Genomic DNA, 12,720 nt, shown 5'->3' on the forward strand with positions numbered 1-12,720 from the left:
TTCCTTAATTAATGACAGATCTGCCATCTCAGCTGAGAGCACTGGATTGAAAATTCTCAACAGTAATGTGGGTACAGACACGAGTCACTGGTCAGAGATTCAAGGGCAAACACAGAGCCTGGTCCTACTGCGAGGGCAATGTGGCCCATGCCACAGGTGAGCCATCCCTCTGCCCCTATATCATGAGGCAATATTATCATGACTGCATCATGCATTCCACTCACCAGGTATTTCTCCCTTCTAGGAAGAAGCTGGTAAGCCAACCTCGACTCTAAACAAGTACATCACATTATTTAGAGAACATCTGGGTCTAAACAGCTTTCACATTGTTAGGCCTCAGTCACTTGCCTGTAACCTTCATGAAGGCAGAGAGAGTGTCTCTCCAGCCCATGGCTCTGTGGCCAGTGCCTGACACTGAGCTTGGGGCATCACAGGTGCTCCATGTCCACCAGTGGAGTAAATGAACTATTTCTAGGCAGCTCAGAGCAAGAAAGTTCTTACTGGCACAGGGAATGCAAAGGAGGTGCACACTGGTGAGGTACCCATGACCCCAACTTCACAGGCATTTCTATTCTGCTCCCAGATGTTCCTGCAGCAGCCAGCTGTATCCCTGAGCTTCAGCAGCACCCAGCGACCTGAGGCTCAGCAGCAGCTACAGCAAAGGTCAGCTGCAGTGACTCAGCCCCAGCTCGGGGCGGGCCCCCAACTTCCAGGGCAGATCTCCTCTGCCCAGGTCACAAGCCAGCACCTGCTCAGAGAATCAAGTGTGATATCAACCCAGGTAAATGTGCTCCTTGCCAGCTTCACTCCTTGCCTCTAGAGCAGACACCCTCTTGCAGTTTGGGACATACTTGATTCCTGCAGCCTACGTGAACTGAGGCCTACTGCCCTGTTCCGTTATGGACTGAGGGTAGATTTGGGAGTGAGCCTTCTTTTCCTTCTTCTGTTAAAGTCACTTTGAAACCCCAAGTTGTATTGGCTTCCTTCTGTGTTTTATAAATGTCCACCTCAGTCCCTTGCTCTCGTGCTTAAAGATATCACTCGGCTGAAATGTTCACCTTTGATGCTGACTTAGGGTTGGAGGCAGATATGGCCATCCCAGAGACCCACTGGCAGCTGAATGTCCCAACACTCAACGTCCATGGTCCCCGCCATCTACTCTGGTTTTAACCATTACCCACATGAGCAGCCACTGCTGTTCACTGTCCCTTGCCCCAGGTGCCCCCTGCTCCTCCAGGCGCCCCCTGCTCCTCCAGGCCCCCACTGCTCCTCCAGGTCTCCCTGCTCCTCCAGGCCCCCATTGCTCCTCCAGGTCTCCCTGCTCCTCCAGGTCCCCCTGCTCCTCCAGGCCCCCACTGCTCCTCCAGGCCTCTCTGCTCCTCCAGGCGCCCCCTGCCCCTCCAGGCCCCCACTGTTCCTCCAGGTCCCCCTGCTCCTCCAGGCCTCCCTGTTCCTCCAGGCGCCCCCTGCTCCTCCAGGCCCCCCTGCTCCTCCAGGCCCCCACTGCTCCTCCAGGCCCCCCAGACTCTTTGCCAAACCCTTGTAGCCATTTCCACCTATTCCAAGCCACCAGTGACCTTGCAATTGGACAAAATCGCCAGCAGATAAATGGCACTCAAATGGAATGGAATTCAGAAGTCTGGAGCAGGGCTTCTGGAGGATAACAGATGGGAAGGCAGCCTTTCCTCCAGCCTCACATTCCCATGCCCTCGTGGCTTTGGTAAAGTCAGCTGAGCTCCTGGAATTCACCAAGACCCAGGGGAACAATGATGAGCAAGAGTTGTCCTGGGCCTCGAGGAGCCTGTAGTCCAGTAGAGAATCTGGGAACTTAGATAACCTGCAGTACAATACAGATAAACACACATATGGAAGTGTTTAGGCCATCTTTCTTCAAATGTAAGGGTTTTGCTTGAAAATACAGCCTTTTGATTTAAAAGGTCATCAGAAAAATAGGTGAGAAGAGCTAAGAAAATTTTGGAAAAGAGAAAACTGAGGAAGGATTTATACTATCTGATATTGGAAAATTTTGTAAAAACTAAGAATGAGAGCACTGTGTTATCGGATGAATGGACAATCAGTGAAATAGACAGAAAACCCAAAGCAGGTGCAAGCCCACTTCCTCACTCATTTATTATTTCACTCAGCTCCCTGCGTGCCAGGCACTAAATTCTGAGCACTGAGGGAAAGCAGTGAACAAAAAAGAAAAAAGAATTTCTGTTCCAAGTGAGGAGAGAGACGAACATGTGAAAATTATAGTATGTGCAATGGTACAGGAATGCTGGTGAGGGCCAGGAATGGCTGGAGGTGTAAAGAGGTAGCCAGGTAAGGCCTTTTGAAGAAGATAATATTTGAGTCAAGACCTGAGGGGGTGAAAGAATGAGCCATGTCAATGTCAGGGGAAGAGCATTCTACAGAGCAGTCAGCTCGTGCAAAGGCCCTAGGGCAGGAGTAGGCCTGGTGAGTTGGAGAAACAGCCAGGAGGGCCATGTGTCTGCAGTAGAATTTGAAGCAGAAAGTAGTTCAGTTCAAGGCACATTTGCTACTTGCCTGCCTAGAGTCCGGCACTGTCCTAGGCCCAAGGGATTCAAATACAATCCAATGGGGAAGACAGTCACAGATCAAAGTAATTCAGTAGTTGGGAGGTTCTGATTTAGAGGAAAGGCAAGGGTAGGTAGAAGGAGGAGACACTGGGAGGTTTCCTGGAGAGATGGCCCAGGGTTGAGTCCAAGTCTTACCTTTCTCATTGAAATGATGCTCCAGGGTCCAAAGCCAATGAGAAGCTCACAGCTAATGCAGAGCAGCGGCCGCTCTGGAAGCAGCCTAGTGTCCCCGTTCAGCAGCGCCACAGCTGCGCTCCCGCCAAGTCTGAATCTGACCACACCTGCTTCCACCTCCCAGGATGCCAGCCAGTGCCAGCCCAGCCCAGACTTCAGCCATGATCGGCAGCTCAGGTACGAGACTGCCCTTGTTTAAAGGATAACCCAGGCATCATTTTACCCCATTCATTTCAGCTCTACTTTCTGCTTTAGACGGAGGCAGAGTTCAGACAGATTCTAAAGTGTCCACAGTTGATCTCAGCTAAGGAAGCAGAGGACAGGGCTTGGGATCCTGAGGTCCAGGGGAGGTTACCCGCTGCGTCCATCATCCTCAGAGAATGAAGCCAGGAGAGTGGGGATTAGAGTCAACCATAAAGGGTCCAGCCAGGCTGAGCAAGTGCTGCCACGACCAGTGGGTCTGTGGTTCAGGTGCTGATCAGTTTCCTATTTCCCCACCTCTGCTTAAAGGCTGTTGCTGAGCCAGCCCATCCAGCCCATGATGCCCGGGTCCTGTGACGCAAGGCAGCCCTCGGAAGTCAGCAGGACGGGACGGCAAGTCAAGTACGTGGACCCTGGCGGGAGGCAGGAGGCAAGCGCTGGTGGAATGGTTCCAGGCTGGCCAGACTCACCCGCCTGGGCCAGCAGCACTCACATGAGCCTTGCGCTAAAGGCAAGGTCTGAGTGTGCCCACAGCTGTGAAGGGGACGCTGCCCCTCAGCTTTTCTTCTACCGTGTCCCAATTAAGCAGAAAAAACTCAGCGCTCCATGCTTACAGCAGCACTGAATGAAACAATTCACACCCCACCGTTTGCCATCATCTTCCGACTTCCTTACACCTGTAAAGCCCTCTAAAGCCCTCACCCCTGGAGACATCCCCCTTCCCAAGGACCCTCCCCCAGGCTCCAGCTGACATGCCGCAGGCACACTTGGTGCTCCGTGCTTCTGGCACCGTGCTCGGGCCCGTCTCTCCCAGACAAGCAGCCCCCTCTCTGCCTTCCCCAGCCTCCTCTCCACTAGCACCGGTAGGACCAGAAGCAGCTTTACTCAGCTACTTAATTACTAGGGACAACGGTTACTGGAGACACGGGGAATAGTTTAAAAGCTGCTGGAAAACAGTTTCTAGCCCTTGGGAATGAGGCAGAAATAGAGCTATCACACAGACATCTCCTTCATGTTAACACTGGTTGACTTTGTGTCCAGAACTAACCAGGACAGTGCTAGCCGATCAGGCCTGGGATGCCCTCATGTAGAAGCCTCGCAGGCACCCCCAGGCCCCTCTCCCTAGAAGTCCTTCTTCTGTGCCCTCCTTCAGCCAGGACAGAGAGTAACGGCAGATGGTTACTGCCTTTCTGAGGGTCAGGGTCTGTATGTTCATTATTTAATTTTATCCCGATAAAAACCCTAGGGTGTAGGCACATGCTCGGTCTTTTTTTGTTTGTTTGTTTGTTTTTTAAACCAGTGAAGAGGCTGGGCTTTAAAGGGGTTAGATTACATTCTCGAAGGCCACACAGTGCAGATGGTGGGGCTGGAGGCCAGCTAACTCCAGGCCACGGGCCCCTTGGGCTCCCTGAATCTTCAAAGTCCACCTTGTTGGCCCTGTCTGGGGTCTCCCTATGCCTCAGGATAACTTTCTAGGCAGCCTCTGCCCCTGAGACTTTCTGGCCCTCCCTTTGGTCACAGGAGGGTAAGGAGGGACCTGCAGGTTGTGGGGAGCCATCTGTAAAGTTCCGTTCATGTCTATCATTAGGTGGGAGGAAGTGGGCTGGTTTTGCTTCTGGATTTTACCTGTTCTTCCTAAATGATCCAAATAAGTGGAAATAGGCTGGGCGCAGTGGCTCATGCCTGTAATCCCAACACTTTGGGAGGCCAAGGCGGGCGGATCACCTGAGGTCAGAAGTTCAAGACCAGTCTGGCCAACATGGTGAAACCCCCATCTCTACTAAAAATACAAAAATTAGCCGGGTGTGGTGGCACGTGCCTGTAATCCCAGCTACTCAGGAGGCTGAGGCAGGAGAATCACTTGAACTTCAGTGCTCTGTTGGTGGGAACTGTCCAGTGCTGCAGCCACTGTGTTAAATGTCGGCTCTGTGTCCCCACCAAAATCTCTTGTTGAATTGTAATCCCTAGTGTTGGAGGTGTGGCCTGGTGGGAGGTGATTGATCATGGGTGGGGACTTCCCCCTTGCTATTCTTGTGATAGAGTTCTCCCTAGATCTGTTTGTTTAAAAGTGTGTAGCCCCTCCCCCTCGTTCTCGATCTCCTCCCGGCCATGTGAAGTTACTTCCTGGTTTTTTGATAATCACCATTGTAATGAGTGTGAAGGGACATCTCATTTTGGTTTTGATCTGCTTTGCCCTAATGGAATGGCTACTGATGCTGAGTATGTTTTCATGTGTGTGTTGGCCATTTCCAGGTTCTCTTTGGAGAAATGTCAGCCCCAATGCCCATTTTTTGATTGGGTTGTGTGGGTGTCTTGTTGTGGAGTTGTAGGCATTCTTTATATATTCTGTTATCGGTCTCTTATTAGATATGTGATGTGCAAATATCTTCCCCTACTCTGTGGGCTGCCTTTTCCCTCTGTTGATAGTGTTGATAGTGTCTTTTGATGGACAAAAGTTTCTTTTTTTTTTTTGCTTTGAGACGGAGTCTCACTCTGTCGCCCAGGCTGGAGTGCAGTGGTGTGATCTCGGCTCACTACAGTCTCCACCTCCCGGGTTCAAGCTATTCTCCTGCCTCAGCCTCCCAAGTAGCTGGGACTACAGGTGCCCAACATGACACCTGGCTAATTTTTATTTATATTTTTAGTAGAGACGGGGGTTTCACCATATTGGCCAGGCTGATCTCGATCTCCTGACCTTGTGATCCGCCTGCCTCGGCCTCCCAAAGTGCTGGGATTACAGGCATGAGCCACCGCGCCTGGCCAAAAGTTTCTTATGAAGTCCAACTTATTTGTTTTTTCTTTGTTGCTCGTGCTTTTGGTGTCGTATCAATACTGCTTTCTTAAAGGACCTGTTTTCTCCTTCCCACGTGAAACAGGTACGCCCAGAGCCAGACCGTGTTTCAAAATCCAGACGCACACCCCGCCAACAGCAGCAGCGCCCCGATGCCCGTCCTGCTGATGGGGCAGGCGGTGCTCCACCCCAGCTTCCCTGCCTCCCAACCATCGCCCCTGCAGCCTGCACAGGCCCGGCAGCAGCCACCGCAGCACTACCTGCAGGTGGGTGCCACGGCCCAGGGGGCCCCCGTGCAGGCCTGGGAGCCGGGCCACGCTCCACACCCGAAGTCTCAGAGATATTTTATTCCCTTGCTTTCAAGGTTGTTCTATCCCTAGTATAGAAGTAAGCCCCAGAAAGATTGTTATTTGATTGTTTTTCATGCTTAAAGTTTATGAAGTCTATGTCTACAGAGTACATGAAATTACGAGTCGGCTATTATGCCTTATGTGGTTATGTGCTAAAAAGGTTCTTTTTTAAAAAAGTAGTTTCTACTCAAGGATTTGCATCTTGATATGTTCACAGTTTTTAGAGCAAAAGTCGAAAAACATTGATGACTATGTTGGACTTTTCAGTGTGTTTATAAAGTCCTATATAAACATAAAGTTAAATCACATTTAGTTAAAGATCCATTAACCTGCCTTCATAAATACAGTGATGTGTGAAATTGGGCTTGCCAGGAAAATTTGGAGCTCATTTACATGTGGTCACTACTTCGAAGGCAAAAATTACTTCAAGCAAGTGCCAAGTATGTCAAAAGCAGGGAGGGTGAGAGCCACTGGTCCGCAGGTTCACGTGGGAGCCACACGTCTGCGTCTGCCAAGCTGCAGAAGGGCCTGGCCTTCCCTCACCCATGTGCAGGGTGCCCCTCTTCACCCCAGCCCTTCCCTGTCCTGGGGGGGCTTCCTCCCTGGCCTGCAGCCCCACCTGCACCTGCAAAGCCATGGAGAATGAGCAGTAGCTGAGACCTCTTGAGTACTGTAGATAGTGATGAAGATAGCTGTCCTTGAAGTTCTAGAACGTAATTTAATTCCAGTGCCGCTAAGCCATCTGTGCTATAATTTTCAGATCTCCCTGACCCCACACATAGTGGGAGTCAACTCAGACTTTGGCTTTGCAGATCTTGTCAGTTCTCGAGACCCAGAAGTGATTTTGGATGGGAAATGAGCAACAGACAAGTTTGCATGCACCTGTTGCAGACAAGATGCAGGCTATGAATACAGAGAGCGCTTCGGCCCACTCACTGCCCTTAGGGGCTTGGGGTGGGGTGCAGAGAGGTGGGTTAGCACAGAATGCAGTCAGGCTCGGATTTGGGAACAGTGGGAGTGCTGTGGTGGGGAAGCCTTTGTGGAGGAAGGGACTTGAGGAGAGGGAGGGCTCAGAAGGCACCCACTGCAGAGTCTGATGTCCAGGAAATGCCCGAAATGTGGGTGAGGGTGAAGATAAAGGGACAGTGTTCCAGCCAGACAGCCTGAGCAAAAGTTCAGGGCAGCTGTGCCTGGGCAGCTTTGAGAGCAGGGGGGTGCTGGGTTACTTGCAGGAGGAGATTTCATGGAAGGGAATAGTGGGTGATAAGACTGAAGTTTCCAAAGTCAGGCTTTGGTCAGTCAAAGCTTCTAAACTTCCAATCAAGATGCTCCTAGTAGGTGCTGGTGAATCTGGAGGTAGCTACGGGATCAGGGACCAGCAGTGAAAAGTGTACAAACTGTATGTGTGTTTGGATTCTGCCCTGTCAACTACCTGCATGTGGCCTCAGGTTCCATCATCCAAAAACATTGTGGCTACATGTAGATCATGTGCACGTGTTTACGAAACCATTCCCCATAGCCATAGCCACAGGCCTCAGTCGATTGGGCCAGAAGGTGCCCCCACTATTGGCGGAGAACTTAGCTTCAGAATTCACCCTAAGGTTCCCTTAGTCCCCATCCCCACCACACCCCCAGGTCTTGCCAGAGCCACCTCTCCCCACATGACCCCCCAAGAAAGACAGCCCTGTAGTCTAACTCAACCTGCAGCATGCCCCGCACTGCCTTGTAAGACAGTTGAGGAGCGGACATCAGAACCACCTCTGAAGCCCTTTGTTCTTTTTTTTCTAGGTACAGGCACCAACCTCTTTGCACAGTGAGCAGCAGGACTCGCTACTTCTCTCCACCTACTCACAACAGCCAGGGACCCTGGGCTACCCCCAACCACCCCCAGCACAGCCCCAGCCCCTACGTCCTCCCCGAAGGGTCAGCAGTCTGTCTGAGTCGTCAGGCCTCCAGCAGCCGCCCCGATAATGCCCCGGCACTGAAGTCGGGACACAATCAGCTTTAACCAATGGATGAGGGGGGTGGCCACAGGAGATGGGGAGAGGAGTCTGAACTAAACCCCTGGCTTTTGTGCACACTGCATACGTTTCAGAACTCCTGGATGGTAACCATCTCTGGAGTGCAGCGCTTGCTGCAGTGGAAATGATCAGGAATACTGACCGTGTTTCTCTTGCCTCCGAGGTTCTTGGGCACACTCTATAGCCATACTGGACAGGAACCAGGTGCCCCGTGTAGGCATCGTCGGTCGGTTTGCCGTCAGAGATGGCGCATCTCGCTGCATCCCCCGAGAGTACACCGGTTGCTCTAGCCACCTGCGGCCCGCCCATCTGCGCTAGCTGGCCTTCACGCTCTTGATCGTCTTTCCTTTGTATTGGAGAAGGACTGGGTCAGAGATCTGTTGGAGAGAGAGAATAAAGAGATTATTTTTCATTATTTTTAAATGGTTGTTTTTGTTTTAATTTGCACAGCTACACAGAGGAAATAACTTAGGCACTTTCTGTTTTTTTTAAAAAAATAATAAGGTCTCATGGCTTCATTTAGAGACCACAGTAACAACAGCAGCCCACCAATCAGAGAAGCTGGTTGTTATTAACCAAGCTACAGATTCACACTTTCTGGCCTAAACCCTAATGGGATGAGGCTTTTCACCCCAGGCCATGCTGGTGGTGATTTTTTAGCCCCTAAATAAAACACTGGACTATTTCCTGTTTACTTCATTGATTGCAACTACAAAGGTGGACTCAAAGCAAAGCACAATCATGCCAGCCAACATTCCAGAATTCTGCTGAGAACTCCAAGTCTGTGAGGGGAGAGGTTTTACAAGCCAGACAGGCCTGGGGGACTGCAGTCCCCAAGGAGACCCTGCCACATGCTGGCCCTTTGAGTGAGAATGCTGCATCTTTCTACATATCTTCATGAGAATACTGAGAATTGGATTTTCCTTTTCAAAATGCACTTTGCTTTTTTTGTATGTTTTGTTATGTTGAGATGTTTCTAAAGAAAAGATTTTATGTAATTATAAGATGAAGCGTAGTGAATTGTACAGCTGTTGTAATAATGACCTATTTCTATATAAAATAAAATTGTATGGCTTATGTGTAAATTATTTTGTATCTGAGATACCAGTTCCTTTTCCCAAATATAAAAGTATAAAAGTTTTCTTGTGTTTTTCTGTGAGTGAAAATTTTGTAATAAATTAACAAATTTGTACAATTTCCTCTGTCCCTTGTTATACATCCCTGCATACATCTTTTCACCAGTAATTCTTTTTTTCTAATTTCAAGATGTTTGAAGGATAATCAAAGATACGGAAAAGATGAAAGCAAGCCATCAGCTTTTTGAGCTGCAATATGTGCATCGGCCTATCAGGTTCTGATCTTTGTGTTAAAGTTTGTGCCCGAAAAACAAATGGTTTACTGTAGAAGTGACAGCAAAACAAAACAGAAAAAGTTTCTGGAAACATCTCAATCTTTTTTTTGTTTGTTTGTTTTGAGACAGCGTCTCTCTCTCTCTTGCCCAGCCTGGAGTGCAGTGGCACAATCTCGGCTCAATGTAAACTGTGCCTCCTGGTTCAAGTGATTCTCCTGCCTCAGCCTCCCGAGTAACTGGGATTACAGGCACCCACCACCATACCCCACTAATTTTTGTGTTTTTAGTAGAGACGGGGTTTCGCCATATTGGCCAGGCTGGTCTCGAACTCCTGACCTCAAGTGATCAGCCCACCTCGGCCTGCCAAAGTGCTAGGATTACAGGTGTGAGCCACCACACCCAGCCAACATCTCAGTCTTGACACAGGTAAAATCCATGGAGGTGACCAAGACATTCTCCACCAAAGCATTCATTTATAGCCCATCATTAAACTCAGCCTGGAATTACATGGGGTTTCGCCACCAACACTTAGATATCAGTGATGTGGGCAGCGTATGTGTGTCTCCATATAAGATGTGTGCACATATGCCACGTTGAGGGTGGGGGCATAGCCGCAGCATCTAGAAGATTTCTGCCAACTACAGACAGCCACCCCATCATGAGGCTTCATGGGCTGAAGGAGGGTACCCTGGAGTACTGTGGTTGAGAACCACTGCAACGGCAATGCCCCTTCCAAAAGCATTGGCCCAAGAGAGCAAAGTTCCTTTCCCTGCTGCATTGCTATGGCTCTCTGCTCCTACTCCTCCCATGTAGAATGGGGATGGCTCTTCCCAGTTCTATGACTAGGATCAGTTTTGGATGGCATGAGAGGGTGCCATATAAATACATCCAAAAAGTTTTATTACTCACACAATTGTTCTATTCCTGAGAAAAAGGTAAGTGAAAATATTTTGCACGTACTAAAACACTAACTCTTTAAAGGAACCAGAAATGAACCCCCTTCTTAAAAATGCTTTGTGAAACTGGATTAACTATTTTTAAATGTTTTATAAATTCAAAGGTTTCTAGATCTGATTTGCCTGTAATAGAATTTGTAATTTAATTTGCTGTCAGCATTTTTTTAAGCAGAACAAGATTTTTAATGGACAGCATATTTATTGTCCTAGGATTTTCTAGCTGGAAGTCATTAAAAAAGGGCAGAGTGTGCCTTGCTACTAATTTGATTTAGCTTTGCTTAAATCTTACACTTGTTCAGAATTTGGATAAACTCAGAAAACGCGTGTAATATTTCTTTAAACCCACATGCGTCATGGGAAGTTTAATCCCTAAACTTTTGATTCATTAAAGTTTGCTCATTAAAAGGCTATTTTGCAACCCTGTCCTATTTCCAGAAAAACCATGACCTTTCTGTTTGTAAAACTATAAAGTCTTGGCTCATGTGAAATGACTGAAACGCGAACCCAAGTACACTAAGTTTATGATCTTTTCAACTAACTCAGTTTACTGTCTCTAATTCAACTAAAATTCATTACATTAATTTTAAAATGTTGTTTGTGCATGCGACATGGGGAACTAGCCAACTGTTCTAAGCCATGACATTTTACACTCTTGTCTAAATTATCTGGTAAAATTTGTTTTGGTACAAGACTGCTTTGGTTTCTCTCTTTACTTAGTGTAGGTACAGCCTGAAGGTCTCCAAGTCTGCCATTAATGTCCCAGATAAATAACTAATTTGGATCCTCTAGAGATACCTGTTAGCAGCTTTTTGGGCAGACATGCATTAATTTCACACTATGCATACAAACAGCTTTATTTTTCTGGCAAAAAAAGCTCACTGGAAACACAAAACAACTCTCGTAGGATTTTTCCCTAACCACACTTAGGCACATCTATGATATTGATTCCTTTTTAAAATTACAATTATCTTTTTTATATTTCGTGTTTTATTTTAAGCATGAAGTTAGGAACTCATGGCCTTTTATGGACTCAACTTTTCTAATTGACCATTGTTATTTATTTCATGCTCAAATTGGTACAACCCGGCCAGTGAGAGCCAGCTCCTGTGTTTGGCTCTTTTCTCTTTTTAGCATTGCCCATCAGAAATCAGATTCCAGATTTCCTTCTGGGAACAACACAATCAAGGCCCATACTGATTTATTTATTTATTTTATTTTTCCTCTCTCAAAGCATGCAGGCGACTACCCTCCAAGGAGTCCTGATTCCTTTTAATTAAAAAAAAGAGATTAAAATCTGGACACCTAGAGTAAGACTAAGAGCTGGTATTGGGTCAAGCGCTGCCTCTGTTGCTGTTATTGGGTCATCCTGTTGTGATGGAGCTGAAAACATTTTCAGTCATGAAATCACATTGATTTCTGCAATGTAATATATATTATACCGTAGTCTACTTTTCTAATGTGATTTTGTTCAGCACTTTCTCCTAAACTGACATTCCATATGAAGTCAGTTATGAACTGTTGATTTTAATTTCAAATACTTCTTGTGCCATTCCTCTCCTTTCTGTCACATTAGTTGCTGCCTCATTTGGGCCCCATTTAGGCTGGGTCACAGAAACAGCCTCCACACTGACCTCCCAGGCCTGGTCTACCCATACTACCTCTTTAGCACCTCTTCACCACCACGCCTCTTTCCTTGTAAAAATCTTTCGGTGGCGCTTCTTGGGAAGTCCCATTGGACCTTCCTGGAGCTCAGTCCAGGATGAAACTGCCAAGGAGGACTCCTTTAGCCCCTTAGGTTTGTTGCCCCTAAAGCTGGTGGACAGGAATGCAACCTGTCTACTTTCTTGCTGCCCCGACAGGGAAACATTCAGATCTTGTTTCATTTTATGGATTCTCTGCTCATCAGTAAAAGTAAAAAGACGTGAGTGATTAGCCCAGCTAACAAACACCAGAGAGTTACAAAGTTCCTATTATATGGTTCTGGTCTCTTCCAGGCCCAGTAGTCACTGGCCTGGTCCCTGGGGCGTGGGAGGGAAACAGAAGCTGGAAGAGTCTGCAGAGCCCCAGGCAGGCAAATGATTTTCAGTCCTCAAACCTAACAGTCTTTATTATATGTCTGTTCAACCTTTATGTAAGGCAGGAGAGTTGACATCTTAGGGGGATGTTTTGTAGATTCCCACTGGAAGGATCTATTTATTTCAACAAGTGGTAGGATCTACTCACATTTCGTCAGTTATACGGAAACTTGAGTCAGCTGGCACCAGACTTCTTTCTGA

At 47.8% G+C, this 12,720-nt stretch overlaps 1 protein-coding gene across 20 annotated transcripts in view, besides 2 other annotated features; it reads left to right on the top strand.

Annotated features, from left to right (window-relative positions):
- NPAS2 (neuronal PAS domain protein 2) overlaps positions 1 to 9,334 on the top strand; it is a 178,107-nt gene extending 168,773 nt beyond the window's left edge. For 11 of the 20 annotated variants that reach the window (XM_047444506.1, NM_002518.4, XM_047444515.1 and 8 more), the window contains 5 exons: positions 584 to 781; positions 2,761 to 2,951; positions 3,285 to 3,377; positions 5,852 to 6,032; positions 7,905 to 9,334. In XM_047444506.1, coding sequence (XP_047300462.1) covers positions 584 to 781; positions 2,761 to 2,951; positions 3,285 to 3,377; positions 5,852 to 6,032; positions 7,905 to 8,087 — 846 coding nt within the window. In that variant the 3' untranslated portion in view covers positions 8,088 to 9,334. Of the gene's footprint in view, positions 1 to 583; positions 782 to 2,760; positions 2,952 to 3,284; positions 3,378 to 5,851; positions 6,033 to 6,928; positions 7,086 to 7,904 lie in introns of all 20 variants that reach the window. The other 9 variants (XM_047444510.1, XM_047444511.1, XM_005263959.3 and 6 more) reach the window with 4 other exon arrangements.
- Positions 3,410 to 4,052: an enhancer, noted in NCBI's record as "H3K4me1 hESC enhancer chr2:101607367-101608009 (GRCh37/hg19 assembly coordinates)". NCBI's record gives its function as "activates a minimal SCP1, AML or CMV promoter by ChIP-STARR-seq in naive H9 embryonic stem cells {active_cell/tissue: H9 hESC(naive)}" and the evidence as "EXISTENCE:reporter gene assay evidence [ECO:0000049][PMID:30033119]".
- Positions 7,855 to 8,355: an enhancer, noted in NCBI's record as "H3K4me1 hESC enhancer chr2:101611812-101612312 (GRCh37/hg19 assembly coordinates)". NCBI's record gives its function as "activates a minimal SCP1, AML or CMV promoter by ChIP-STARR-seq in primed H9 embryonic stem cells {active_cell/tissue: H9 hESC(primed)}" and the evidence as "EXISTENCE:reporter gene assay evidence [ECO:0000049][PMID:30033119]".

This window comes from Homo sapiens, chromosome 2 (assembly GCF_000001405.40).
Source record: "Homo sapiens chromosome 2, GRCh38.p14 Primary Assembly".
NCBI lineage: Eukaryota > Metazoa > Chordata > Mammalia > Primates > Hominidae > Homo > Homo sapiens.